Here is a 27,428-nt window from a genome sequence, read left to right as displayed (position 1 = left end):
CTTTGACTCCCACAGAACATAATTCATGTGCATCTATAAGTAGAAATGCTAATGAGAATTAATTATTTATGAAGTATAATCACTCGCATCCACTCTGGGACACAGCCTACTCTGAGGCATCCCTTCCAGAAGTCACTATATAGTAGGAGACATGCAAATGGGGTCCTCCCTCTGCCGATGAAAACCAGCCCAGCCCTGACCCTGCAGCTCTGGGAGAGGAGCCCCAGCCCTGAGATTCCCACGTGTTTCCATTCAGTGATCAGCACTGAACACAGAGGACTCGCCATGGAGTTTGGGCTGAGCTGGGTTTTCCTTGTTGCTATTTTAAAAGGTGATTCATGGATCAATAGAGATGTTGAGTGTGAGTGAACACGAGTGAGAGAAACAGTGGATTTGTGTGGCAGTTTCTGACCAGGGTGTCTCTGTGTTTGCAGGTGTCCAGTGTGAGGTGCAGCTGGTGGAGTCTGGGGGAGGTGTGGTACGGCCTGGGGGGTCCCTGAGACTCTCCTTTGCAGCCTCTGGATTCACCTTTGATGATTATGGCATGAGCTGGGTCCGCCAAGCTCCAGGGAAGGGGCTGGAGTGGGTCTCTGGTATTAATTGGAATGGTGGTAGCACAGGTTATGCAGACTCTGTGAAGGGCCGATTCACCATCTCCAGAGACAACGCCAAGAACTCCCTGTATCTGCAAATGAACAGTCTGAGAGCCGAGGACACGGCCTTGTATCACTGTGCGAGAGACACAGTGAGGGGAAGCCAGTGAGAGCCCAGACACAAACGTCCCTGCAGGAAGACAGGAGGGGCCTGGGCTGCAGAGGGCGCTCAGGACACATTAAGAACACAGTAAACTCAGGGACCAGGTGCCCAGGGAGGTTAAGGGCTGGTTTCCTTTCAGAGACTTAGCTGTTTCTCCATCTAACAGTTTCCCCAGAACCCTGCCTAGATTTGTGATCTGTATCTGCTCAAACTATCTGTGTCACCTTCCTCACCTGTGACTTTGAGGAAGCTTAGTGTGGACATTCCAGTGGGTGGAGAGATCTTGGTGACAGCAATTGTGTGTTCTGTCTAGGCATGTCTATGGCTGGCCATCAGGAACGACAGGCTGGAATTCTTGGAAAGAGGCACACCTGCCATCCATCAGGAAATTTTGTTGTCTTCTGTTCTGCTAGAATTAAATCAGGCACGCCCAGGTTAACTACTACTATCTTCCTAGCTTGAGAAAATTAATGGTGGGCTTGAATAACACCTATATGAAATCATCAGAGCAACACCTAGATTCGAGTCTCATTTAATAATTGAGACTATGTTCTAGCCAAGGAGACACATAAAACTGGTGATTGCCGTGGTCAGTTCATATCATATATTTGTCAGTAGAATCTGGCTGGTATTATGAACAGCTTTGCCAACACATGTGTTAGTGTTGGTCTTCGGAGAAGCACATTCTATGAATGGATTAGGTTTATGTACAGTTTCCTAAGGAACCGGTCCACGCTTTTGAGAGGAAACGCAGAGCGGGTGGAAGGAGGCTGGGGAAGCTGAAGGCATATGAGGGAAGTTGGTCCCTGAGTGAAGGAGAGAGGGAGGATAACTCAGTGGAACTTCCTTAAACTGTGCTGTTCTAGGAAGGTCCAGCAAGTCACTGTATCTGAGTCATGTCAAAGTTTCCCATCGGGGACCCCCGTGACTCCCAGCAGTGGCTCTACTCAGATCAGCGCGGAGCTCATTGTTCTCCTGAGAGTGGAGCACAGGACGTGGCCCCAGCACCAGCCGTGGCATGCACATCAGAGTGCAGCCCCAGGCGCATGGCTCAGGTGCACTGTGCTCCCTGCAGGTGGAGGGAGGGAAGACCTGACTCAGAACCCATATGATGTGGGTTCCATACAGAACACAACTTTTACTTAATTTCTGTGGATGACATAGAAATAAACATACAGTCTGTAAACAATGGTGATTCCTACATTTACCTTGAGAGCTTTATTCTTTGATTCTGCAGAATGTCCTGGCATGGTGTTGCCTTTCTCATGTGGAAGTGTAACATAAGTTGAGGACATGTGTTCCCCACTTTCATTGTTTTCCTCCATGTACAGAGATCCTGAGTGGAGTACAGCTGACCCTCCTTCCACACTGTTCCTCTCCTCCCCACGGGAACAGCAGATAATTACCTGAGGCTGAATCTGAGGTGGGATATGTCCTGTGCACCTCAGAGCCTGCAGAGACCCCCGGCTGCAGATTCATGGAGTCAGGTGTTTGTGCATGTGGGAATCTCGAGCTGTGCTGTTGTCAGTGAATGCTGCTTAGAACTAATTGCAGGATTCAGAATTAGGAGACCCCCTGATCTATCACACCTCAGCTCATTCTGCCACTCATCATCTTCAGAAATTCTGAATATGGTTCAGTTTACATTTTTGTGATGTACTGTTCTCATTTCATTTAGTCATGAGTTTGGTCAGCAGAAAGTGCTACCATTTATGTGTCCCAACCTGATGAAGCTAATTTGCTTCACGAGAAGTTAGGAGGCTCCTGAATCTTATCCTAAGCCTGTCTCTCTGCACTTTCCTTTAAAATTCAGTTTTACCTGGAATTCTGTTGTGTTGATTTAGCCAGTTTTCCCCATACTGAGTGTCTGATTTTCCTGGATATCTGATCAGTTTCCTTGTCCTTCACCATAACTTGGGTGACATCTGATCACCCTGGTCTAACTTCAACAAAAATCCTGGCAGGCTGCCCTAAGCAGGATTTACCTCACTCCTGATGTTTCTTCTTGGTGATTTTCCATCCTGTGCCCCAACCCTGCTGTATGCCTATAAATCCTCACGTTCTCATTCTGTATTTGGAGTTCTGCTGAATCTCTCCCCCACTGCAAAATCCCACTGCCCTGGTCCCTACACCTATCATGAGGGCCCTGGATGAAGTCTTCCTTACTGTGCTGGAACAAGTGTCTTCATATATACATTTTTTCTTTAACAAATCAACCTTTAGTATTTCCTAATTGATCAAAGGACCTCAAACATTGCATGAAAGCGAGGATCTCCATTTTACTATAAGGGGTGTTTTGTGAATTTCAGTTTCCATGTGTGGTGTCCAGAAGTCCTGGGCACCAACGGTTGTGCTTCTCTGTCCAATTCTTTGATTCTGAAACCCGGGAGTCATCTGAACATGAGTAAATAGGTGACTTTTTTCACTATTTAGTGACTGCCTTATTTCATTTACCCTGAAGCTTCACGAACACATTGATGAAAAGTAGATAGAGAACTTGTTTGGAAATGCAAGATTTATAGTAGACGTAATCACCTACATGATTCTGGAGGTCTTCTTAGTGTTCCAAGAACCAGATGTTTTTCCCACCACAGGACAAAGATGAGAACCTCCACGCTGTGAGGATAGAGGACAGGCAGGGCAAAGATGAGAACCTCCACGCTGTGAGGATAGAGGACAGGCAGGGCAGTGTGAGGACAAAAGGGGCTGTGGTCACGTCCAGGGTGTTCTCTCCTAGCAACGCCTCCAGCTCTTTCCTCACTCTGTGGTATTTGTCAGATGGGAAACATACCTCAAATTTATATTTGACATATTGATGGAAGTCCAGGCAAGAGGCATCTGAAAGCTTATTTCTGAACCTGCTTCTGTAAGGAATGCCCATATCCCTTGGTCTCTTTCCTCTTTCTTAACTCCATTGGCTCCCTTCCCCTCCTGCACACACCCACTGACGTTTATGGCCACTTCCCCACACCCTTCACTGTAGTACCATTTTCTTGGGCTCCTGGGAAACCCAACAGCTTTAGTTAAACTCACAGCTATGTACACCCATAGGCCCCTCAGGAGGTTCTCAGTTTCACTCCTACAGTCTCCCAGGCTGCTCCTTGGGGTCCTAACCTGACCATCTCTACCCTCTCTCCTGAGTCTGGCCATCCATTGAACGTCCCTGCTGCCCTCTAATCTGGATTTGTGTACAGTAGAAGGTTAACTCAGCAGACCTGGATTGTTTAAACCCTGCACATTCCTGAAAAACATTGTTCATTTATGGCTCTCAGTTACCTCCTGATGAGAACTCTGAGCCCTTAAAATGCTATGCCAGATAACAGTGTCTGTGGTTGTCTGCAGCCTTGGGACCTGTAGTACACATTTAATCATAGTGCTTTGTAGTGAATGCCAGCTATTTTTTTTTCCTGGGTAGCGGGGGAGCTGTTGTCTGAGTATTGTGGTCAGTTGAAATGCCTAACCTTGTTTTCACTCTAACTCACTACTTTGAATCTTCCCTGTTTGTCTCTTTAATCACCTAGCCTTGCTTCTCATGTAAGTAAGACTCTCTCTAGCTGGGAAAGCTGGACAAACTCCAATTGACCCCTTAATTTACAAGACACTAAGGGCTCCTCACCCAACCCCCTTCCGTAAGGAGTTAACCTGTGTAAACAGATTCTCAGCATTTCAAAGGAGCCCAGTTAACTGATAAGGTACTAGCACCAACAATGTATGAAGTTCCCAGGATTTTTCTCAAGGAGATAACAACATAAAGCCTTGAGTTCATGCCCGGCATAGCCCCTATATCTAATTATAATGAAAGATTTAGAGCCCTGCACCTGGTACTGTTGCTCTTTTTGTAACCATTTGTCTTTTAAATTGTTTATCTCTCTGTAACCATTTTGCTTCTTTTGATTCTTGCATGTTTTTACTTCCGTAGAATTATTGCACTTGAGTTCCCCTCCCCTTCCTAAACCTAGGTATGAAAGTTAATCAAGCCCCTTCCTCGGGGCCCAGAGAATTTTGAGCATTAGCCGTCTCTTTGGCCGCTGGCTTAATAAAGGACTCTTAATTCGTCTCAAAGTGTGGCGTTTTCTCTAACTCGCCTGGGTACAACATTTTTGGAGGCCGCAGCGAGATATTAACACCACTGGGCGAGAGCCGGTCTCGCTCCGGGCTCCCCCGGAAGGATGGCCAGCTCGGAGGAGGGACACCACCTGAGGAAAGAATTTTCAGGTCTGCAAAGAGTGACCGCCTTCCAGAGGAGAGCGGATCGACCACTGTGTCAGCGCCCTAAAAGTCAACATCTGAGTCCTCAGCTTCTGACCCCGGGGTCAGGTAGGTCGGATGTGACTTCGTTTCCGGTGAGAGGGGAGCGGCCCTGACGAGGGCGCTGAGTCCTCAGCTTCTGACCCCGGGGTCAGGTAGGTCGGATGTGACTTCGTTTCCGGTGAGAGGGGAGCGGCCCTGACGAGGGCACTGAGTCCTCAGCTTCTGACCCCGGGGTCAGGTAGGTCGGATGTGACTTCGTTTCCGGTGAGAGGGGAGCGGCCCTGACGAGGGCGCTGAGTCCTCAGCTTCTGACCCCGGGGTCAGGTAGGTCGGATGTGACTTCGTTTCCGGTGAGAGGGGAGCGGCCCTGACGAGGGCGTCCCTCTTTTGACTCAGCCCATTACTCTAGGATGCTAGTGGGTTGAGCCTTCGTTTTCCGGTAGGCGCCTTCGTATCTTGGTTTGGGTGGGAAGTGGTCCTGACCAGGACCCTCCCTTGACTTAGCTCAAGACCCAGGACGCTGGAGAGCTAAGCCTTGGTTTCTGGCAGACCTCTCTCTCTCTCTTCTATCTTCCATCCTTCTTTTGGAAATCTCCGGGAAAGGGAAAAAAAAAAAACCTGTTATAAACTCTGTGTAAATGGTGTGTGAATGTGGGAGGACAAAGGCTTGCGTTTGTCTTCCAGTTTGTAGCTCCATGGCGAAAGCTACGGAGTTTGAGTGGGCCCTCACCTGCCGTTCTGTGGTGACCTCATAAGGCTTAAGGCAGCATCGGGCATAGCTCGATCCGAGCTGGGGGTTTATACTGGCCTGCCAATGCTAAGAGGAACCCAAGTCCCCTCACGGGGAGTGGCCAGGCAGGCATCTAAATGATCCCATCACGGGACCCCCTTCCCTTGTCTGTCTAATAGAGAAGGTAAAACAGGAAAACTGTCATCATTGTTTACATGCCCTAGGGTCAATTGTTTGTTTTATGTTTATTGTTTTGTTCGGTGTCTATTGTCTTGTTTAATAGTTGTCAAGGTGTTACATGTCAGGACATCGATATAGTCCACGAGGTCTGGGTAAAAATTTCTTCAAGGTCCTTAGTGCTGATTTTTTGTCACAAGAGGTTAAATTTCTAATCAATCATTTAGACTGGCCACCACAGTCTTGTCTTTTCTGTCATAAACAAGTAAGCTGTTGTTACGGAAAAGAGTGTGGAGAACATTCACCTGATTGGAATTTCTGGCACCATGAAGGTTGCGGGTATTTAGATTGTCATACCCCACGTCCTAGTGATTGGTCCCCTTCTAAACTGAACTGGTGGTGGGTTCAAAACAGCCACCCTGCAGACCTTCTTGCTCACCTCTTCTGTCATTCTGTAACTTTTCCTGCGCCCTTAAATAGGACCTTGTGTAAAGAAACCTACGCCCGTCATGCTTTACTTCGTTTAGACTCCTATTCTGTTCCACTGTGGCTACTTTCTCATCTTAAGGACGATCCGAGTGGTCCTTTTCCCCCTCGTCCCTGCCCCTTACCCCGCACATCTCGTTTTCCAGTGCAACAGCAAGTTCAGCGTCTCCAAGACTTCGCTCTGCTCTCACTCCTTGAACCCTTAAAGGAAAAAGCTGAATTTGAACTGTTTGCCTTTGAATCGTGGAGACATAAAAAACACTTAGGATATAGGTCTAGAAGAAGAAGAAGAGGGAGAACGCCTAGATCGAACTGGCCCAGGAGACCTCAGGCTGGCCTCCAATCCCCCTCCCTCAATCTTAAAGCTACAGCAATGTGGCAAGTGGTATTAGCTGTTGTGGTTTTTCTGTTCTTTCTGATCATGTTAATTCTGTTTTTCCGACACTCCAGCCCCCCAGGGAAAGAGTTTCTCTGCCGGTGTTGGATCTGATATCTCTGCTCAAGACTTTGCTAAATTGTCTTTAAATAATAATAATAATAATAAACGGGAAACACCTCCTCCTGGCCCCGTAAGGGTTGGAGCCCTCTCCAGTGTATGCTGGAAAATTTTTCTCTTGGTTTCTCAGAGGACTATGGAGTCCGCCTTAGAAAAGGCAAGGTCTGGACACTCTGTGAACTAGAATGACCAAAGTTTGGAGTCGGATGGCCCTGTGAAGGGTCATTAAATCCTACCATTGTTCAAGCCGTGTGATGGGTTGTTACCGGAACTCCCGGCCACCCTGATCAGTTTCCCTATATCGATCAATGGCTAAGTTTGATTAGGAATCCTCCTCCATGGCTCTGTTCATGTGCCATTCGCAATTCCACCTCCAAAGTCCTCCTGAGCCAGGCCGCGTTTTTGCCTCAACCCTCCGCCAGTTCGGCTCCCCCTGTTTTGCCTCCCTCTGAAGAAGAGGAGAGTCTTCCTCACCCAGTTCCACCGCCTTACCACCAGCCTGCTCCCTTGGCGCCATCCCGTGTCTCTTCGACTGCGTCCCCTGTGGGCTGTGACCGCCCATTGCCTTCCGCTACGACCGCATGGGAGGAAGCAGCCCCTCTACTCCCACTGAGAGAGGCACGAGTCCCGCGGCTGATGAGCGCTCAGCCCCCTTCCTGGTTTATGTCCCTTTTTCTACTTCTGACTTGTATAATTGGAAAACCCATAATCCTCCCTTCTCTGAAAAGCCTCAGGCTTTGACCTCACTGATGGAGTCCGTGCTCCGGACCCATCGACCCACCTGGGATGACTGCCAACAGCTCCTTTTAACTCTGTTTACCTCTGAGGAGAGGGAGCATATCCGAAGAGAGGCCAGAAAGCACTTCCTTGCATCAGCCGGTGGGCCGGAGGAGGAAGCTAGAGACCTCCTGGAGGAGGAGGAAGCTAGAGACCTCCTGGAGGAGGAGGAAGCTAGAGACCTCCTGGAGGAGGAGGAGGTCTTTCCCTCCACCTGGCCTAACTGGGGCCCAGATTCCTCAGGTGGAAGGAGGGCTTTGGACGATTTTCACCAGTATCTCCTCGCGGGTATTAAAGGAGCCGCTTGGAAGCCCATAAACTTGTCTGAGACAACTGAAGTTGTCCGGGGGCCTGATGAGTCACCAGGGGTGTTTTTAGAACCTCTCCAGGAGGCTTATCGAATTCACACACCTTTTGACCTGGCGACTCCCGAGAATAGCCGTGCTCTTAATTTGGCATTTGTGGCTCAGGCAGCCCCAGATATTAGGAGAAAACTCCAAAAACTGGAAGGATTTACTGGGATGAATATCAGTCAGCTTTTAGAAATAGCCCAGAAGGTTTTTGAAAACCGAGAATTTGAAAAACAAAAACAAGCGACACAGGCAGCTGAAAAAGCTGCCGATAAAGCATATAAAAGACAAGCAAAAATCTTGGTAACAGCTATCCAAGAGGGCAGAAAGGAAAGGCCTGCATTCCAGAAAAATGGCCAAGGAACCTCGGGTTCCCACCAGAAAAGTGAAAGAGGTGAACAGGCCCCTCTAGGAAAACACCAATGTGCCTATTGCAAACAGACTGGGCATTGGAAAAAGGAGTGCCCGTTACTGCCAAAAGAAAAATCTGAAAACAAAAAGGTTCTCACCCTGGCCGCAACAGAGGAGCCTGATGATTGATGGGGCCAGGGCTCCCTTGCTCTCGGCCCCCAGGAGCCCATGGTAACTGCTACAGTGGGGGGCCAGCCTGTATGTTTCCTAGTAGACACCGGGGCAGAGCACTCCGTACTGGAGACTCCCCTGGGCAGTGTCTCAAATAAAAAAATTGCTGTACAAGGGGTAACTGGAGCTATTCAAGAATATCCTGTCACACACACCTGAGAAGTAAACTTGGGACAGAAAAGAGTGACACACTCTTTCCTAGTAGTTCCAGAGTGTCCTATTCCTCTCCTTGGACGGGACCTACTCCATAAGTTACAGGCCTCAATCTCCTTTTCAGCTCAGCAGGCTCATCTCACACTAGGAAATGCAACTTCCCCCACTGCCCAACTCTTGCTAACTACCCCTCTGTCAGAAGAATACCTTCTGGTTTCACCGTCGTAATCACCGGAGGAGAATACTAATACTCTTTTGTTAGATCTACAGACACTTTTCCCCCAAGTTTCGGCCGAGTCAAACCCTCCCGGACTGGCTAAACACCATCCGCCAGTAGTCATAGAACTCTTGGCCACTGCCATACCGGTCCAGGCAAAGCAATACCCCACAAGTCAGCAGGCTAGAGAGGGGATTAATCCCCACATTCAACGACTGTTACAAGCTGGCATACTTACCCCATGCCAGTCGGCCTGGAACACGCCATTTTTGCCGGTCCAGAAACCTGGAACAAATGATTACTGGCCAGTACAAGACTTAAGGGACGTTAATAAATGGACTGTTGCTGTCCACCCAACCATTCCTAATCCCTATACTCTACTCAGCCTGCTCCCACCAGAACATACAGTATACACTGTCCTTGACCTGAAAGATGCTTTCTTTGCTATCCCTCTGGCCCCCAAAATCCAGCCGATTTTTGCTTTCAAATGGACAGATCCAAGATCAGGAGACACTACCCAACTGACTTGGACTCAGTTACCTCAGGGTTTTAAAAATTCCCCTACCCTTTTTGGAGAGGCTCTTCAGCAAGATCTTATACCCTTCCGAGCCAGTCACCTTAACTGTACTCTTCTCCAATATGTAGATGACATTTTAATAACAACTGAAACTATGGATGGTTGTCTACAACACACAAGAGACCTGCTCTACCTCCTTCAGGAGCTCGGGTATGGAGTCTCAGCCAAAAAGGCCCAGCTTTGTCTTCCCAGAGTGTCCTACCTGGGGTACAAGATAAACAAAGGAAAAAAGGCACTCACTAGTGCCCGGAAAGAAGCCATCCTGCGAATCCCCACTCCCGCCACCAAGAGACAGGTACATGAATTCCTAGGAGCCCTGGGATATTGTCGTCTTTGGATATCGGGGTTTGCAGAGATTACAAAGCCTTTGTATACTGCTACAAAAGGTAATGGCCCACTGATTTGGACAGACACCGAGGAACAGGCTTTTCAGAATCTGAAAAAGGCTTTAACTGCAGCCCAGGCTTTAGCCCTCCCAAATATCTCAAAGCCTTTTCATCTGTTTGTCCATGAGAGCCAGGGAGTTGCTAAGAGAGTGCTTACTCAGACTTTAGGAACTTGGAGAGGCCCAGTGGCTTATTTATCTAAGAAGGTGGATCCTGTGGCCTCAGGATGGCCAAGTTGTTTGCCAGCCATAGTGGCTACAGCAAGCCTAGTCCAAGAAACTGATAAATTAACTCTAGGCCAGAATTTAACCCTTACAGTTCCTCATGCTGTAGAGACTTGACTACGAAGTGCTTCAGGTAAATGGATGTCAAATGCTCGTATTTTACAATATCAGAGTTTACTGTTGGATCAGCCTTGTTTGACTTTCTCTCCCACAAGGTGTTTAAATCCTGCTACTTTACTCCCAGATCCAGATTCTAATACTCCTGTCCATGACTGTCAGGAGCTGTTAGAAGCTACCGAAACTGGCAGGCCAGATCTTCAAGATGTGCTCCTGAGAAAGGCGGACGCCACCGTGTTCACCGACGGCAGCAGTTTTCTCGAACAGGGGATACGCAAAGCTGGTGCAGCTGTTACCACAGAGACAGATGTGTTGTGGGTTCAGGCTTTACCGGCAAGCACCTCAGCACAAAAAGCTGAATTGATTGCCCTTACTCAAGCTCTCCGATGGGTTAAAGATAAACGTATTAACATTTATACTGACAGCAGGTATGCTTTCGCTACTGTGCATGTACATGGAGCCATCTACTAAGAACGCGGGTTGCTCAGGTCAGAAGGAAAAATAATTAAGAACAAAGAGGAAATTTTAGCCCTGCTTGAAGCTGTGTGGCTCCCTCAACAAGTGGCTGTAATCCATTGTAAAGGACATCAAAAAGAAAACACGGCTGTTGCCCGCGGTAACCCAAAAGCGGTTTCAGCAGCTCGGGAAGTGGCGCTGTCTTCAGCTCCGTCCATAAACCTGCTACCGGCAGTTTCTTTTCCACAGCCAGATCTGCCTGACAACCCCGCGTACTCAACAGAAGAAGAAAAACTGGCTGCAAACCTTAGAGCAAATAAAAATCAAAAAGGTTGGTGGATTCTTCCTGACTCTAGAATCTTCGTACCCCCAGCTCTTGGAGAAACTTTAGTCAGTCACCTACATTCTACCACCCATTTGGTGGGACAAAATTAGCTCAGCTCCTCCGGAGCTGTTTTAAGATCCCTCATCTACAAAGCCTAACAGATCAAGCAGTTCTCTGGTGCACAGCCTGCGCCCAGGTAAATGCCAAGCAAGGTCCTAAACCCAGCCCAGGTCACCGTCTCCGAAGAAACTCGCCAGGAGAAAAGTGGGAAATTGACTTTACAGAGGTAAAGCCACACCGGGCTGTGTACAAGTACCTTTTAGTATCAGTAGACACCTTCTCCGGATGGACTGAGGCATTTGCTACCAAGAACGAGACAGCTAACACAGTAGTTAAGTTCTTACTCAATGAAATCATCCCCTGGTACGGGTTGCCTGCTGCCATAGGGTCTGATAATGGACCTGCCTTCACCTCGTCCATAGCTCAATCAGTCAGTAAGGCATTAAACATTCAGTGGAAGCTCCATTGTGCCTATCAACCCCAGAGCTCTGGACAGGTGGAATGCATGAACCATACCCTAAAAAATACTCTTACAAAATTAATTCTAGACACCAGTGAAAATTGGGTAAAACTCCTTCCTTTAGCCCTACTTAGAGTAAGGTGCACCCCTTATCAGGCTGGGTTCTCACCTTTTGAAATTATATATGGGCGGGCACCACCTATCTTGCCTAAGCTAAAAGATGCCCATTTTGCAGAAATATCACAAGCTAATTTATTACAGTACCTGCAGTCTCTCCAACAGGTACAAGAGATCATTCTGCCACTTGTTTGAGAAGCCCATCCCAGTCCAGTTCCTGACCAGATGGGGCCCTGCCATTCATTCCAGCTCAGTGACCTGGTGTTTGTTAAAAAGTTCCAGAGAGAGGGCCTAACTCCTGCTTGGAAGGGACCTCACACCGTCATCCTCACGACGCCAACAGCTCTGAAGGTGGACGGAATTCCTGCTTGGATTCATCACTCCCACATCAAAAAGGCCAACAAAGCCCAAACAGAAACATGGGTCCCCAAGCCTGGATCAGGACCCTTAAAACTACACCTAAGTCGGGTGAAACTGTTAAATTAACTCTTTTTATTTGCTTCTTTTGTTTATCCTTGCCTGTAATGTCTTCTGTGCCTTCCTACTCCTTCCCCCTCACCTCTCTCACAACAGGACGTGTTTTCGCCAATACTACTTGGAAGGCTGGTACCTCCAAGGAAGTCACCTTTGCAGTCGACTTGTGTATACTGTTCCCGGAGCCGGCTGGTACCCACGAAGATCATCGCGACCTGCCAGTCATGGGAGCAGGAGGTGTCGACCTTGCAGCAGGATTTGGACACTCTGGGAGCCAAGCCAGATGTGGAAGCTCCAAAGGTGCTGAAAAAGGACTCCAAAAGGTTGACTTTTACCTCTGTCCTGAAAATCACCCTGATGCTAGCTGTTGAGATACCTACCAGTTCGTCCGCCCGGATTGGGCATGTGTAACTTTAGCCACTTACTCTGGGGGATCAACTAGATCTCCAACTCTGTCAATAAGTCGTGCTTCTCGTCCCAAATCGTGTTCTAAAAATAATTGTAACCCTCTTAACATCATTGTCCATGAACCTAATTCAGCTCAATGGTACTATGGTATGTCATGGGGATTAAGACTTTATGTCCCAGGGTTCGATGTTGGAACTATGTTCACCATCCAAAAGAAAATTTTGGTCCCCTGGAGCCCACCCAAGCCAATCGGACCTTTAACTGATCTAGGTGACCCTATGTTCCAAAATCACCCTGACAAAGTTAATTTAACTGTGCCCCCACCATTCTCAGTTCCTAAGACCCAGCTACAAAGACATCAACTCCAACCCAGTCTGATGTCTATACTTGGTGGAGTACATCATTTTCTTAACCTCAGCCAGCCTACACTAGCCCAAGATTGTTGGCTATGTTTAAAAGCAAAACCCCCATATTATATAGGATTAGGAGTAGAAGTCGCACTTAAAGGTAGTCCTTTATCCTGTCATGCACAACCTCATGCTTTCACATTAGGAGATGTGTCTGGAAGTGCTTCTTGTCTAATTAGTACTGGATATGACTTATCTATTTCTCCTTTTCAGGCTATCTGTAATCAGTCTCTGCTTACTCCCATGAGCATCTCAGTCTCTTACCAAGCACCTAACAATACCTGGTTGGCCTGCACCTCAGGTCTCACTCGCTGCCTTAATGGAACTAAATCAGAACCCCTCTTGTGTGTTCTAGTTCATGTCCTTCCCCAGGTATACGAGTACAGTGGATCAGAAGGACAACTCCTCATTGCTCCCCCGGAATTACATCCCAGGCTACGCAGAGCTGCCCCACTACTGGTTTCTCTTTTAGCCGGTCTTAGCATAGCTGGGTCAGCAGCTATTAGTACAGCTGCCCTAGTTCGAGGAGAAACTGGACTAATGTCTTTGTCCCAACAGGTAGATGCTGATTTAAATAATCTTCAGTCTGCCATAGATATACTACATTCCCAGGTAGAGTCTCTAGCTGAAGTAGTACTTCAAAACTGCCGAGGCTTAGATCTGCTGTTCCTCTCTCAAGGAGGATTATGCACAGCTCTAGGAGAAAGCTGTTGCTTTTACGCCAATCAATCTGGAGTCATAAAAGATACACTCCAAAAAGTTCAAAAAAATCTAGATAGGAGCCAACAAGAACGAGAAAATAACACAGCCTGGTATCAAAGCATGTTCAATTGGAACCCCTGGTTAACTACTTTAATCACTGGTTTAGCTGGACCCATCATCATCATATTATTGAGTTTAATTTTTGGCCCTTGTATATTAAATTGGTTCCTTGATTTTGTAAAACAACGTATAGCGTCTGTCAAACTTATGTATCTAAGAACTCAATATAACCCCCTTGTTGTAACTGAAGAATCAACGACTTGATTCCCCTAAAACACAAGTGGGGAAATGAAATGCCTAACGGTGTTTTTACTTTAACTCGTTACTTTGAATTTTGTCCTGCTTGTCTCTTTAATCACCTAACCTTGCTTCTCATGTAAATAAGACTCTCTCTAGCTAGGAAAGCCAGACAAACTCCAATTGACCCCTTAGTTTACAAGACACTAAGGGCTCCTCACCCAACCCCCTTTCGTGAGGAGTTGGCCTGGGTAAACAGATCCTCAGCATTTCAAAGGAGCCCAATTAACTGATAAGGTACCCACACCAACAATGTATGAAGTTCCCAGGAATTTTCTCCAAGAGATAACAACATGAAACCTTGAGTTTGTGTCCGGCATAGACCCTATATCTAATTATAATAAAAGATTTAGAACCTTGCACCTGGTACCGTTGCTCTTCTTGTAACCATTTGTCTTTTAAGTTGTTTATCACTCTGTAACTATTTTGATTATTTTGATTCTTGCATGTTTTTACTTCTGTAAAATTATTACATTTGAGTCCCTCTCCCCTTCCTAAACCTAGGTATAAAATTTACTCGAGCCCCTTCCTCGTGGCCGAGAGAATTTTGAGCATGAGCTGTCTCTTTGGCAGCCGGCTTAATAAAGGACTCTTAATTCGTCTCAAAGTGTGGCGTTTTCTTAACTCACCTGGGTACAACAGTGCAGCTGGTGGAGTCTGGGGGAGGCTTGGTAGAGCCTGGGGGGTCCCTGAGACTCTCCTGTGCAGCCTCTGGATTCACCTTCAGTAACAGTGACATGAACTGGGTCCGCCAGGCTCCAGGAAAGGGGCTGGAGTGGGTATCGGGTGTTAGTTGGAATGGCAGTAGGACGCACTATGCAGACTCTGTGAAGGGCCGATTCATCATCTCCAGAGACAATTCCAGGAACTTCCTGTATCAGCAAATGAACAGCCTGAGGCCCGAGGACATGGCTGTGTATTACTGTGTGAGAAACACTGTGAGAGGACGGAAGTGTGAGCCCAGACACAAACCTCCTGCAGGAACGTTGGGGGAAATCAGCTGCAGGGGGCGCTCAAGACCCACTCATCAGAGTCAACCCCAGAGCAGGTGCACATGGAGGCTGGGGTTTGTTTCCTGTCAGGATTTGGGACTTCCTCTGCTTCTGACAGTTTCTCTAGGGAAACTCTTTAATTTTAGATTTCTGTGCCCACCAATGTCATCTCTACATTTTTTTAATCATTGTAATATGATAGGAGGACTTATTCTCACATGCACAATATGTATATTGCCACCTACGGGAATGAAAACTCCTCAACCATGGTCACCAGCATCAGAGTCGTGAGGAAGCTCAGGGGTGCCTGGTGAGTCTTCTCCAGTCAGACTCAGGACAGTAACCTCAAGGGGATTCCCTTGTGAGAACTCACACACTTTCATGAGAACAGCACCAGGAGTTGGTTCTAAACCATTCATGAAAGACCCACTCCATGACCCAGTCACCTCCCACCAGGTCACCCCTTCACAATTGAGGATTATAATACAACATGAGATTTGGGGCAGGACACAAATCCAAACCATATCAGATACACATTGTGAAATGCTCATGATGGTCAGGGTAATTTGTATTTCTATCACCTCACAGCGCTACCATTTTATTATTTTTTTAAATTAACTGCATGAGTGAGTGTCTGATGAGAACACCTCAGATATACCCTTTCAGCAACAATCATTTTTATAATACAGTATTAACTATAGGACCATTGCTGTACGTTAGATCTCCAGAACTCATCCAACCTGCACAACTGAAACTGTACAATTTAACAAACATCACCCGATTTCCCTCTCCTCCCAGGTCCTGAGACCCTCTATTCTGCTCTCTACTTTCAAGAGCTTGAATATTTTAGATCCCACATGTAAATGAGATCATGCAGCATTTGTCTTTCTGCATCTGGCTTATTCCACTCAGCATCATGTCCTCCAGGCCCATCCGTGTTGTTGCAAATGTCAGAATTTCCCTCTTTTCAAAGCCAAATAAAATACAGATTTATGTATACACATTTTCTTTATACATTCATCCATTTACAGTCATTAAATTATTTTGCAAATCTACACTATTATTAATAATCTTCAATGAACACGTCTTTGGCAAAGTAATTTTATTTCCTTTGCATATATAATAAGAAATGGGATCACCAGATTATATGATAGCTTTATTTTCAACTTATCGAGTAACCAATCCTACCACAGTGTATTCCCTTTCCCTCACATTCTTGCCAATATTTGTCATCTATTACATTTCTGATAATAACCATATTAACTAGTGTGAGGTGATATCGCATTGTGCTTTTCATTTGAATTCCTCTGATAATTAGGAATGTTGAGAACCTTTTCGTTTTCTGTTTGCCATGCATGTATCTTCTGAAAAAAGTTATCCAGGTTTTTGCACTTTTTTATCAGTTCATTTGTTATTTGCTATTGAGGTATATGGGTTATTTATACATTTAGATAGACCTTCTTGTCGGATACATAATTACACATAGTTTTTCCTGTGCTTTGTTGTTAAATTCAAAGAAATCAGTTCCGAATTAATGGCAGGAATTTTTTTTGCTCCATGTGATTTATGAGTTTATGGCTTCAGGTATTATGTCCAATATTAGCTGATTTTTTTATATGGAGTTAGAGAAGGCCTAATTTTATTTCTTTTGAATATGAATGCCAGTTTTACACCATTATTGAAAAGACTGTCCTTTCTCTACTGTGTGCTCTTGGCACACAAAATCAGGAGAGACATAATGACAAAAGAAAATATCAGATGAATATTCCTGATGAACATAGACCTGAAAGTCCTCAACAAAATACTATCAAATAGAATCCAGAAGCACTTTAAAATGTAATACATCATGGTCAAGTGGGCTTTACCCCTGGGATGCAAGGCTCGTTCAATATCCACAGTAACTGTGATTCACAATGTAAACAGAATAAAAGCAAAAACCATATGATTATGTCAATAGATACTGAGAAAGCCTCTGGTAGGTTCTAACATCCACTCATGATAAAAACCCTCAACAGACTAGACATCAAAGAAACGTACCTCAGAATAATAGCCATCTACAGCAAACCCACAGTCAACACCATACTAAATGAGCCAATTAAAACACTTGTCTTTATAAATTACCCAGTCTGAGGAGTTTCTTTATAGTGTGAGAATTGACTAATACAGCATCCAAATAGGAAAGGAAGTCAATCCGTCCACCTTCAGCGATGATATAATTCTATACCTAGAAAATCCTAAAAAGTCTGCCAAAATAATTCTAGAATAAACAACTTTAGTAAAGTGTCAGGATACAAAATCAATGGACAAAAATTACCAGCATTTCTATAAGCCAACCACATCCAAGCTGAGAGTATAATCAAGAACAAAATCCTATCCAACTTACAGTATCCACAGAGAAAATGAAATGCCTGGGAACACAGATAACAAACAAGGTGAAAGATCACTACGAGGAGAACTATAAAGCACAGCAGAAATAAATAATAAATGATACAAATAAATGGGAAACATTTCATGCTCATGGATTGGAAGAATCAATATTGTAAACATTGTCATAATGCCCAAAGGAATTCACAGATTCAATGCTATTTACATAAAACTATCATCATCATTCTTCACAGAATCAGAAAAAAATCTATTCTAAAATTTATATGGAACCAAAAAAGACCCTGAATAGCAGAAGCAATCCTAAGCAAAAAGAACAATGCCAGAGGCATCATGATACTGACCTTAAACTACACCATAATGTCTTGCTAACAAAAGCAGCTTGGACTGGTACGATAGCAGACCTGCAGAAAAAAAAAAATAGATCAAAATTGAAAACAGAAATAAAGTTGCACACCTGCAACCTTTTGATCTTTGACAAGGCTGACAAAAGCAATTGGAAAAAAAAAATCTCTGTATTCAGTAAATGGTTCTGGGATAACTGGATTCTGGCAGGTATGCAGAATGCAAGAGTGAAGGAGCCTGTGCAGCTTCTACCTAGATTTCAGATGTGTAGAGAGCCCTGCATGCCCAGGAAGAAGCCTGCTGCAGGAGTGGATCCACCACAGAAAGCCTCTACTAGAGCAGTGCCAAAGATGGGGAAAGATGGAGTTGGAGCCCCCATTCAGAGTCCCCACTAGGGCGCTTCATAGTAAAGTTGTGGGAATGTGGCCACAACCCTCAAGACCCTAGAATGGTAGAGCTACAGGCAACTTGCACCCTCAGCCTAGAAAAGCTTCCAGCACTTGACTCTCACTTGTGAAGGCAGCCCCGTGGTCTGTGCCTAGCAAACCTATAGGGATTGGCTGCCTGAGGTTTTGGGGACCCACCCCTTGTTCCAGTGTGCCCTGGTTGAAGTACATAAAGTCAAGAGAGATTATTTTGTAGTGTTAGGATTTAATATCTGCAGTGCTGGGTTTTATATGTGTGTGAGGCCTGTTGGTTGTTCCACTGGCCAATTTATCCCTTTAGGATTGGAATTATTTACCCAATGCCTGCACCATCATTGCACCTTGGAAGTAAACAACTTTCATTTTTAAACTTGCAAGCTCACAGCTGGAGGGACATTGCCTTAAGACTCAGATGAGACTTTGGACATTTTAGTTGGAGGTTGATCAACTTAACATTTTGGGAACTATTGAAAAAAGGTGATTATATTTTGCAGTGTAAGAAGAATATGAGAACTTTGGGTCTGAGAGTGCAATGATATCATTTAGGGGTTTTCCCCTCCAAATGTCATGGTGAAATGTGACCCACAATGTTGGAGGTGGGGCCAACTGGGTGGTTTTGGGTCATGAGGAGATTTTTCAGGACTGGCTTGGCATCCACCCCATGGTAATTAGTGAATTCTTGCTGTATTAGCTACTGTGAGATTTGATTGTTCAAAAAAGTCTGGCAACCCTCCTACCCTCTCATGTCCCCCCTCCTCACCATATGACACAGCCTCCTCCCCCTTTGCCTTCCACCATGACTGTAAGCTTCCTGAGGCCCTCGCAAGAAGCAGATGCTTGTGCCATGCTTCTCACACAGCCTGCAGATCTGTAAGCCAAATAAGCCTCTTGTCTTTGTAAATCACTTGGCCTCAGGTATTAATCTATACCAATGTAAAATAGACTAATACACTGCCCAAAGCAATATACAGAGTCCATGCAATTTATATCAAGTAACTAATATAATTGATTACATATTTTTAAAAATCCTAAAATTCATATAGAACCAAAAAAGGGTCTGAAAAGCAAAAGCAATCTTGAGCAAAAAGAACAAAGCTGGAAGTACCGCATTCCCTGACTTCAAATTACACAACACAAAGATAACAAGAAAGGCAGCGTGGTAATGGTAGAACAAAAATCAAGAGCCCAGACATACAGCCAAATATCTACAACCAACGGTTCTTTGACAAAACTGACAAAAATATACACTGGAGAAACAACCCTCTATTCAATAAGTAGTGCTGGGAGAATTAGATAGCCTTATGCAGAAGAATAAAATGAGACTTCTGTATCATCATAGACACAAATTAACTGTGAATATGGATTCAATGTTTAAATTTATAAACTCATAAAAATTCCTGAAGAAAATCTAAAAAAAATCCTCTAGACATTTGCCTAAGCAAATAAAATATGACTAAGACTGACTTCAAAAGCAAATGCAATGAAAACAAAATTAGACAAACAGGATTAATTGAAACACAGATTGTCTGCATAGCAAAAGAAATAACCAACATGGTGAACAGACAACCTGTGAACAGTAAAAAAAAATTTGCAATCTATTCATCAAAGGGCTAATACATAGAATCTACAAGGAACTCAAATAAGTCAACAAGAAATAACAAATAACTTCATTAAAGAGTGAGCAAAAACCAGACATTTCTCAAAAGAAGACACAGACGTGGCCAAAACAAATAAAACATACTCAGCATCACCAATCATCTGATAAATGTAAATTACAAACAACATGATATAGCATCTTCCACCAGTCACAATGGCTGTTATTACAAATAAAAAACAGCAGGTGTTTGGAGAGAAGCATAGGAAAAATAATGCTTTTTATATGCTTGGTGAAAATATAAATTAGTACAACCTCTATGAAAAACAATACAGAAGTTTCTCAAAGAACTAATATTAGAATTACCGTTTGTCCCAGTAATCCCTCCCAGTGGGTATATTCCTCCCAAAAGGAAATTTTTATATCAGAAAAAGTCACCTGCATTCCTAGTGTCTTTCACAGCAACGTGAATAGAGTTGTAGGACATTAGCCTAAATAAAATAACTCAAAAAGATCTTCTCTTTTATAATTGGAAAGTAAACAATGGGTACACATGTACATACATAAAAAACAAAAGACACTGGGAACTGCAAAAGAGGGCAAGGTGAGAGGAATGTGAGGGTTAAAAAATCACCTACTGGCTCCAATGTTCACTAGTGGGCGATAGTTACACCAGAAGCCCAAACCTCACCTTTATGAAATATATTCATGTTACAAAATTGCACATGTACACCCTGATTCTACTGAAAAAAACAGAAATAAAACATGAACAGAATTGTTAGACTGCTAGCTAGATTTGTCAACAAAGAAAAATGCAAAAGGAGCAATTCTCTGTTTTGGAACCCTTTCTCATTTTCTGGTACAATTAGAAATTGTAGACTAATCCCTATATTCTCTTCTGAAGCCCTAGCATTAGCCATTTCTCAAAGACATGCTGGTTCCTTTTTTTTTTTTTTTTTTTTGAGACAGGGTCCAGACTCACTGCAACTTCCACCTCCTGGGTTCAAGCGATTCTCCTGTCTCAGCCTCCCAAGTAGCTGGGATTACAGGCATGCGCCACTGTGCCTGGCTAATTTTTGTATTTTTAGTAGAGACAGGGTTTCGCTATGTGGGCCAGGCTGGTCCAAACTCCTGACCTCAAAAGATCTGCCCACCTCAGCCTCCTAAAGTGCTGGAATTACAGGTGTTAGCCACTGCACCTGGTCACTGGTTTCTTTTATAGAAGAATAGTATTAAAAACTCAAATCTTGATTCTGGGTGTATTTTTTATTAATGTGCACTCATTTCTTGTAGAAATTCTCAGGTAAAAAATCTAGGAAGTATGTGTTGTGTATTAACCCATATATACACAGACATCTAAACTATTTTTATCTAATATATGTACCTATATTATGCTAAACTTGCAAATAAAATGACATGTCCACCCTAAGTTAATACCACATGGATGTTTATCGCATTCCTTCTATGCCTGACACTAACCTCCCACTCCAACCACAAGGAACCCCATTTCCCCATACGCCGTCCATTCTCTTTGTAGTCCAATTCCAAGATTCCTGTGGAGTGTAACAAGATGTGTAAGTTGTGCTCTTTTGTGGAACATCGTCAATTGGGGTACAATGCTGATGTGAAGTTTCTTTTTTCTTTAATCTTATTGCCTACACCATTTCTGAATCTACTTAGTACCTCTTTTGAATTCATACATTTGTAATGGAATTAGACATTTTCTATGTTATCTGCATTCCATCCTGGAATTCCTAATCACCTATTTTTAAAAAAAATTCTTTTGAAGTAAGATTGTATTAGTCAGGGTTCCCTAGAGGGGCAGAACAAACAGGATATATATACGCACACAGGATACACACACACACACACACACACACACACACACAGAGTTTATTAAGGAGTATTAACTCGTATGATCACAAGGTCCCACAATAGGCCATTTGCAAGCCGAGGAGCATGGAAGCCAGTCCGAGTCCCAAAGCTGAAGAACTTGGAGTCCCATGTTCGAGACAAGGAAGCATCCAGCACGGGAGAAAGATGTAGGCTGGAAGGCTAAGCCAGTCTAATCGTTTCATGTTCTTCTGTTGTTGTTGTTTTTTTTTCCCTCTGGCCACACTGGCAGCTAATGAGATTGTACCACCCAGATTAAGAGTGTGTCTCCCTTTTTGAGCCCACTGGCTCAAAAGTTAATCTCCTTTGGCAACACCCTCACAGACCCACCCGGGATCAATACTTTGCACCCTTCAATCTAATCAAGTTGACACTCAGTATTTAGCATTACAAGTCCACCCCGTCAACTTGAAACCATACACATCTCCTGAGATTATACATAATCTTCAAACAAAGACAATAATAAAGTCATAATTACACCTAATATAATACAACTTTATTCGTTCAACTGGAAATGCACCAATCCCCAATCCAAATGCTATTACATATGGTCCACTCCCTCAAGGACACAGCCAGGATCATCCTATGACTTGGTGTCTAGAAGACTCATGCACTTTTAATTTTACCTCCAATATTAGACTCCACTTTATCACATGCAGACACTGCAGAATATTTTAAGACATCGATGTCTTATGCTGAAAAATTCAACAGTACATAAAATTGCCTTCCCACCACAGCCAGTGGTTACTACTGAATAAGGATCTGCCATCCCCTAGGGAGGTGCTATAGTGGATGGTGTGCACTGTTAGTAGCTATGGAAATTGATCCATTGTGGCAAATGGCAGCATCTTTCTTTTATAACATTAAACCATATTATATTGTATACACATACCACATTGTCTTTATTCATTTGTCTGTATGCTGACCATCAGATAGTTTCCATATCTTCGCTGTTATTAACAGTGTTTCAATAAACATAGGATGCAGATATGTTTACAAGGTGGTAATTTCATCTACTTGGGTATACTCCCAGAAACAGGATTTCTGGTCATATAATATCTCCAGTTTTAATTAATTTAGGACGCTTTATGTTGCTTTCCATAATTGTGGAAATGTAGAATGGTATAGCCATTATGAAAAACAATTTTGGTTTTGAGTTATGATCCATAAACAGCATTTGCTTATGGCTCTCAATGAGAGTTTCTACTAAATATGATGGAAGGCCAGGAAGGATTCTCACCTTAAAGCTTGGATGGATTATGAATTTACCTCTTATTTCCTAAAAGCAAAAGTTTGGAAGCATACATGATGGAGGCTGTTGGCAGGTTTCAGGATGATCTCATAAAAGGAGAATCTGCTGGATAAAAATGTTGGGTTTTCAGTTATAGACACACCTACACTCAATATGAAATGATGAAGTCAACTGAGGATCTAGAACATGTTCACTTGAAGCAACAGCACATTCTCAAAGGAACTTATTGCTCCATCACAAGGGCGATGAACTTCTGAAACCAGTAAAGTGTGAGTGCACAGTAAGTGATAACGTTATCACGTTTACATGAAGTTTGTTTAATGTGCCAAAGGCTGGTACAGATTAATCTTACACAAATATATGAAACATATTTTTCCATACATAGATATCTAGAGGATAATCCTCTTAGCAAAACTTCTTCAGGTTACAGAAATCTGTGTAAGTTGTAGATCTCATGGGGAACTGTCTCTTTATAAATACTGGTCTGTTTTTCAAGTCAGGAAAAATTATCTCTGTTGGAGTAGGCTTCCAATTGTGTAGACTTCTGAATTGCTTCTTGAGTTGTAACAAATGAACCAAAAAATTTGACTAATTGGAGTTTTGTGGCTGTCTTAATAAAAATTTCTTATAAGCTTTCTTTCAATTATTTGAGACCAGTTTTCCTGATTTTATTTTTCTCCAATAGATAAATTTTCACAAGATCTCAGGAAACCACCTCTCTGGCTCTTTAGTTTAAAAGACTAGCTTCTTAGGAAAAGAAGCTTCTTTCTAACATTGAAGAGCTCATTTATTCTGCAAACCATGAAGTTTGAGTCTCATTGTCAAGAATCATGAAAATTTTTACTCCAATATACTGAAAGTCATGACTCTTGAATTCAATATTTATTGGCATTCACAAAAGTGATTCATTCTCAGATGTGTCCTATGTTGCTGGCCCAACATATCAGTGAACTGAGTATCCTCCCTTAGCTCTCTCTGTCTGTAGCACTGAGTCTACAATCTTCAGAGTCATCCATGAAGGGGAGTCCTGAGGTTCATGGGATTCTTGTAAACATTCAGGTCAACAGAAGAAATAAACAGGATTGAGGGCTGCCAGCCATTTCCACGCCATTAGGAATAATTACCATCTAAGTATAAAGGTCTACATCATACAGAATACCCCACAGGATAGGCTGATGCAAAAAATTCCAACCCCACAGAGGCTCCACAGCAACCCTTACAGTTCTTTCAGGGAAGAAATAATCTCCAAGTTAAATGAGTCAGTAAAGCTGCTCTGAGCTACAGGAAAAATTGGATTTGGCCCAGGTTTGTCTGAGTTCAACGTGATTATTATACTCAGCTCCTGCTCCAATCTGGACTGAGTACGGGGAATTTAAATGAGCCTGGCTGTGTGGTTTGTTATATGAAAATCTGAACTATATAAACATAAATGGCATGTCTGGACTAGCATGAGGGTGAGAGATCCTGGGAACTCCACCCCCCATACTCTTATCGCCCTTTCCTCCAGGAACCTCCAGGTTCTCAGGGTGAGAATCCACATAGATCCCTTCATGGCTCTATTTCTAGGAAACCAAATCTCTAATAAATACACCCAGACTTTCTTCAGACACAGAAACCATGGGAAAGGCATCTTTAGATCCTCATCTATGTGGGGAAAGGTAATCCATCCCCATTACAAGCCCATACTAGCAGCCTTCCTTTATCATGAAAATGGGTAAAATTAGCCAATAGATGTAAATTTAAAGAAAATTTCCTGTGATGCTCCAGCCAGAAAAGAGCAAAAATCAGCTTCACTTCTGGAGACTTCCCGTATAGGTCACAGCCCAGAGAAAGAAGATCACCACAGCATTAAAATTCAGCTGTAAGAACATGTAATGCTTCCGTGTTCCACACATTATGTCTCACCAGTTTAGTCAATATGGATTAAATACGAGAGTGTGGCAATGCACAAACTCTATCTGAGGAGGAAATAGGAGAAAAATGTTAAGGAAAATAGAAGAATTCGAAGCCTCTAATACCAGGAACTTCAGCACAAAGAAAATGATTTCACCCTTATTGGCCTCAAATTTATTTTTCCTGTGGCATCTGCAGGGTTCCAAAGTGAGAAAAATTAATTCACTGTGCATGCACTTCCGAAGTGTCCACTTGCATTCTGATATCTTTACTTCTATTTGCAGAAAGTAGACACATATTCAGCCTTAGTGCCAGTGTAGGGAGTGCTTTCCGTGACATGGATACCAGAAAAATAGGGTAAACATAGGGCCCATTAATGTGAAAATCAGACATTGTGTGTGTGTGTTTGTGTGTGTGTGCGTGTGAGTTGAATAGTAGAGTTGGAGTGGGCTTCTATCCACCTACACCTGCAGGTATTCTCAGGTGCCATAATCAACTGCAGGACCCTAAAGGAAATAAGAGTCCCCCCAAACCCCTGAAGAGTTTTTGGGTTCACCGTGTGTCCAATGATTCAGTGCCTCTTGAGCTCCAGGAAAGGGCTCCCCAGTGATGCATGAGATCTTTCTTGGGGTCTCCCTGCAGAGTTCACTGGGATTCCTAAGGCCAATTCAGTATTTCAAAAGATGGTGTGAGAAGCACAGGCTGTCACTAAAGGAGAATTCTGAGCCAGGGCACAGCCACTTTATACTTGGCTGGGGACACTGGTAGGAATATACTCTGTGAGATCAGACAGGAACCTCCTTGCAGGGGCAGGGCAGGGCTGCAGGGGGCGCTCAGGACACACAGAGCACAGGCTTCCGCCCCAGAGCAGGTGAAGGAGGCTGGGGAGGGGTTCCTCTCAGGGCCTGGGACTTCCTTTAAAAAATCTAAAATAAGTATTTCACAAGGACTGCCGATGTTTATATAAATATCCTATTCAATTGTGAGCATTTATGAAACTCGATGTTGTAATGAGAACCACTTTTACAATGGGAATTTCAAACTTCCCTAGACATCTTAATAGTAAGCAGCTGGAGGTCAGGAGGAGATCCTTTCTTATAAATAAGTGCAATTTTTGGAGAAACACACTCATTCCCAAAATAGCACATTCACATATTAAGGTCTAGAAATGATTCGAGTTGCCCCTGAGACAGTCAAATGTGGGTTCTAAGTGAGGTGCGTGTCCTGGGGGAGCTTGTTCTCCAGTGGGGGAAGCTCTGTCAACACAGAGTTCAGGGATGGGTAGGGGATGCGTGGCCTCTAACAGGATTACGGCTTGAACCCTCAGCTTCTACAATTGTGTCGTCCATGTGTCATGTATTTGCTCTTTCTCATCCTGGGTCAGGAATTGGGCTATTAAATAGCATCCTTCATGAATATGCAAATAACTGAGGTGAATATAGATATCTGTGTGCCCTGAGAGCATCACCCAAAAACCACACCCCTCCTTGGGAGAATCCCCTAGATCACAGCTCCTCACCATGGACTGGACCTGGAGCATCCTTTTCTTGGTGGCAGCAGCAACAGGTAACGGACTCCCCAGTCCCAGGGCTGAGAGAGAAACCAGGCCAGTCATGTGAGACTTCACCCACTCCTGTGTCCTCTCCACAGGTGCCCACTCCCAGGTTCAGCTGGTGCAGTCTGGAGCTGAGGTGAAGAAGCCTGGGGCCTCAGTGAAGGTCTCCTGCAAGGCTTCTGGTTACACCTTTACCAGCTACGGTATCAGCTGGGTGCGACAGGCCCCTGGACAAGGGCTTGAGTGGATGGGATGGATCAGCGCTTACAATGGTAACACAAACTATGCACAGAAGCTCCAGGGCAGAGTCACCATGACCACAGACACATCCACGAGCACAGCCTACATGGAGCTGAGGAGCCTGAGATCTGACGACACGGCCGTGTATTACTGTGCGAGAGACACAGTGTGAAAACCCACATCCTGAGGGTTTCAGAAACCCCAGGGAGGAGGCAGCTGCACTGAATTTGAGGAGATTACAGGGCTTACAATGTTTAAAGTTGTTTAGAAAATGAGCTGAGCAATTGAGGAATGTGAGTAATGGAAACATGGATGCACTCTATATAGGAAATGTTTCTTTCAACAGTCACCCTATATGCAAAATTCAGAATGGTAAAGGCAGCAATCAGTGAGGCTGACGCAAATATTCCCATGGAGGCCTTGTGCAGACATACGTTTTAAAATCAGATAGATAAATAATTTGGAACAAGATTGCTGGTAACGTGGCTAAGACTAAATATGATTCCTAAAAACTGGCCAAAATCTATTCCAAATTGTCTCTGCCACTCCTTTTACATAAATGTATTAAAAAGTAGTTTTAAGACCACAGCAAAATTGGACAGAAGGTGCAGAGAGTTCTCATGTGCCCCTGCTTCACCATGCACAGCCTTTCCCACTGTCACCATCCTGCCCCAGAGTCATCAATAAGTTACAATGGATGAACTTACATGGGCGGATTGGTTCTTTCCTCTTCTGGTGGTCTCTTGGCATACCAAGCCCAAATTATCTTGAAGCACCATAGGTTCTACTGTAATGCCTAACCTTGTTTTTTA

General features: G+C 44.0%; 1 long non-coding RNA gene, 1 pseudogene, 2 gene segments (V, D, J or C) and 1 further gene, besides 2 other annotated features; 4 read left to right on the top strand and 1 right to left on the bottom strand.

The window, feature by feature from the left end:
- The window catches only part of IGH (immunoglobulin heavy locus), a 1,293,408-nt gene that overhangs the window by 668,168 nt on the left and 597,812 nt on the right, over positions 1-27,428 (top strand).
- IGHV3-20 (immunoglobulin heavy variable 3-20) lies at positions 286-741 on the top strand. The segment is given in 2 exon segments: positions 286-331; positions 435-741. Coding segments are annotated over 2 exon segments (353 nt in total), but the record flags the coding sequence as incomplete, so codon positions are not given.
- Positions 3,254-17,850, bottom strand: LOC105370700 (uncharacterized). Of its 2 annotated transcripts, XR_007064369.1 has the most exons (4): positions 17,764-17,850; positions 9,214-14,917; positions 6,526-6,601; positions 3,254-5,599 (listed from the first exon to the last, which is right to left on the bottom strand). It is a non-coding gene; the product is annotated as an uncharacterized LOC105370700 (long non-coding RNA). The 2 variants fall into 2 exon arrangements; XR_944265.4 differs by lacking the exon at positions 17,764-17,850 and having other exon boundaries at positions 9,214-14,985.
- Positions 4,595-5,794: an enhancer, noted in NCBI's record as "BRD4-independent group 4 enhancer chr14:106662526-106663725 (GRCh37/hg19 assembly coordinates)". NCBI's record gives its function as "activates an origin of replication core promoter dependent on BRD2, P300/CBP, MED14 and CDK7 cofactors, and independent of BRD4, by STARR-seq in HCT116 cells {active_cell/tissue: HCT116}" and the evidence as "EXISTENCE:reporter gene assay evidence [ECO:0000049][PMID:35650434]".
- Positions 10,143-11,342: an enhancer, noted in NCBI's record as "CDK7 strongly-dependent group 2 enhancer chr14:106657005-106658204 (GRCh37/hg19 assembly coordinates)". NCBI's record gives its function as "activates an origin of replication core promoter dependent on BRD2, BRD4, P300/CBP, MED14 and CDK7 cofactors, with strong dependence on CDK7, by STARR-seq in HCT116 cells {active_cell/tissue: HCT116}" and the evidence as "EXISTENCE:reporter gene assay evidence [ECO:0000049][PMID:35650434]".
- On the top strand, positions 14,687-14,979 carry IGHV3-19 (immunoglobulin heavy variable 3-19 (pseudogene); annotated as a pseudogene). Its single transcript is given in 1 exon segment — positions 14,687-14,979. A coding segment is annotated over 1 exon segment (293 nt).
- On the top strand, positions 26,342-26,778 carry IGHV1-18 (immunoglobulin heavy variable 1-18). The segment is given in 2 exon segments: positions 26,342-26,387; positions 26,472-26,778. Coding segments are annotated over 2 exon segments (353 nt in total), but the record flags the coding sequence as incomplete, so codon positions are not given.

The sequence above is a fragment of the Homo sapiens genome, chromosome 14 (genome assembly GCF_000001405.40).
Source record: "Homo sapiens chromosome 14, GRCh38.p14 Primary Assembly".
Lineage (NCBI taxonomy): Eukaryota > Metazoa > Chordata > Mammalia > Primates > Hominidae > Homo > Homo sapiens.
This window is presented reverse-complemented; position numbering and strand designations above follow the sequence as displayed.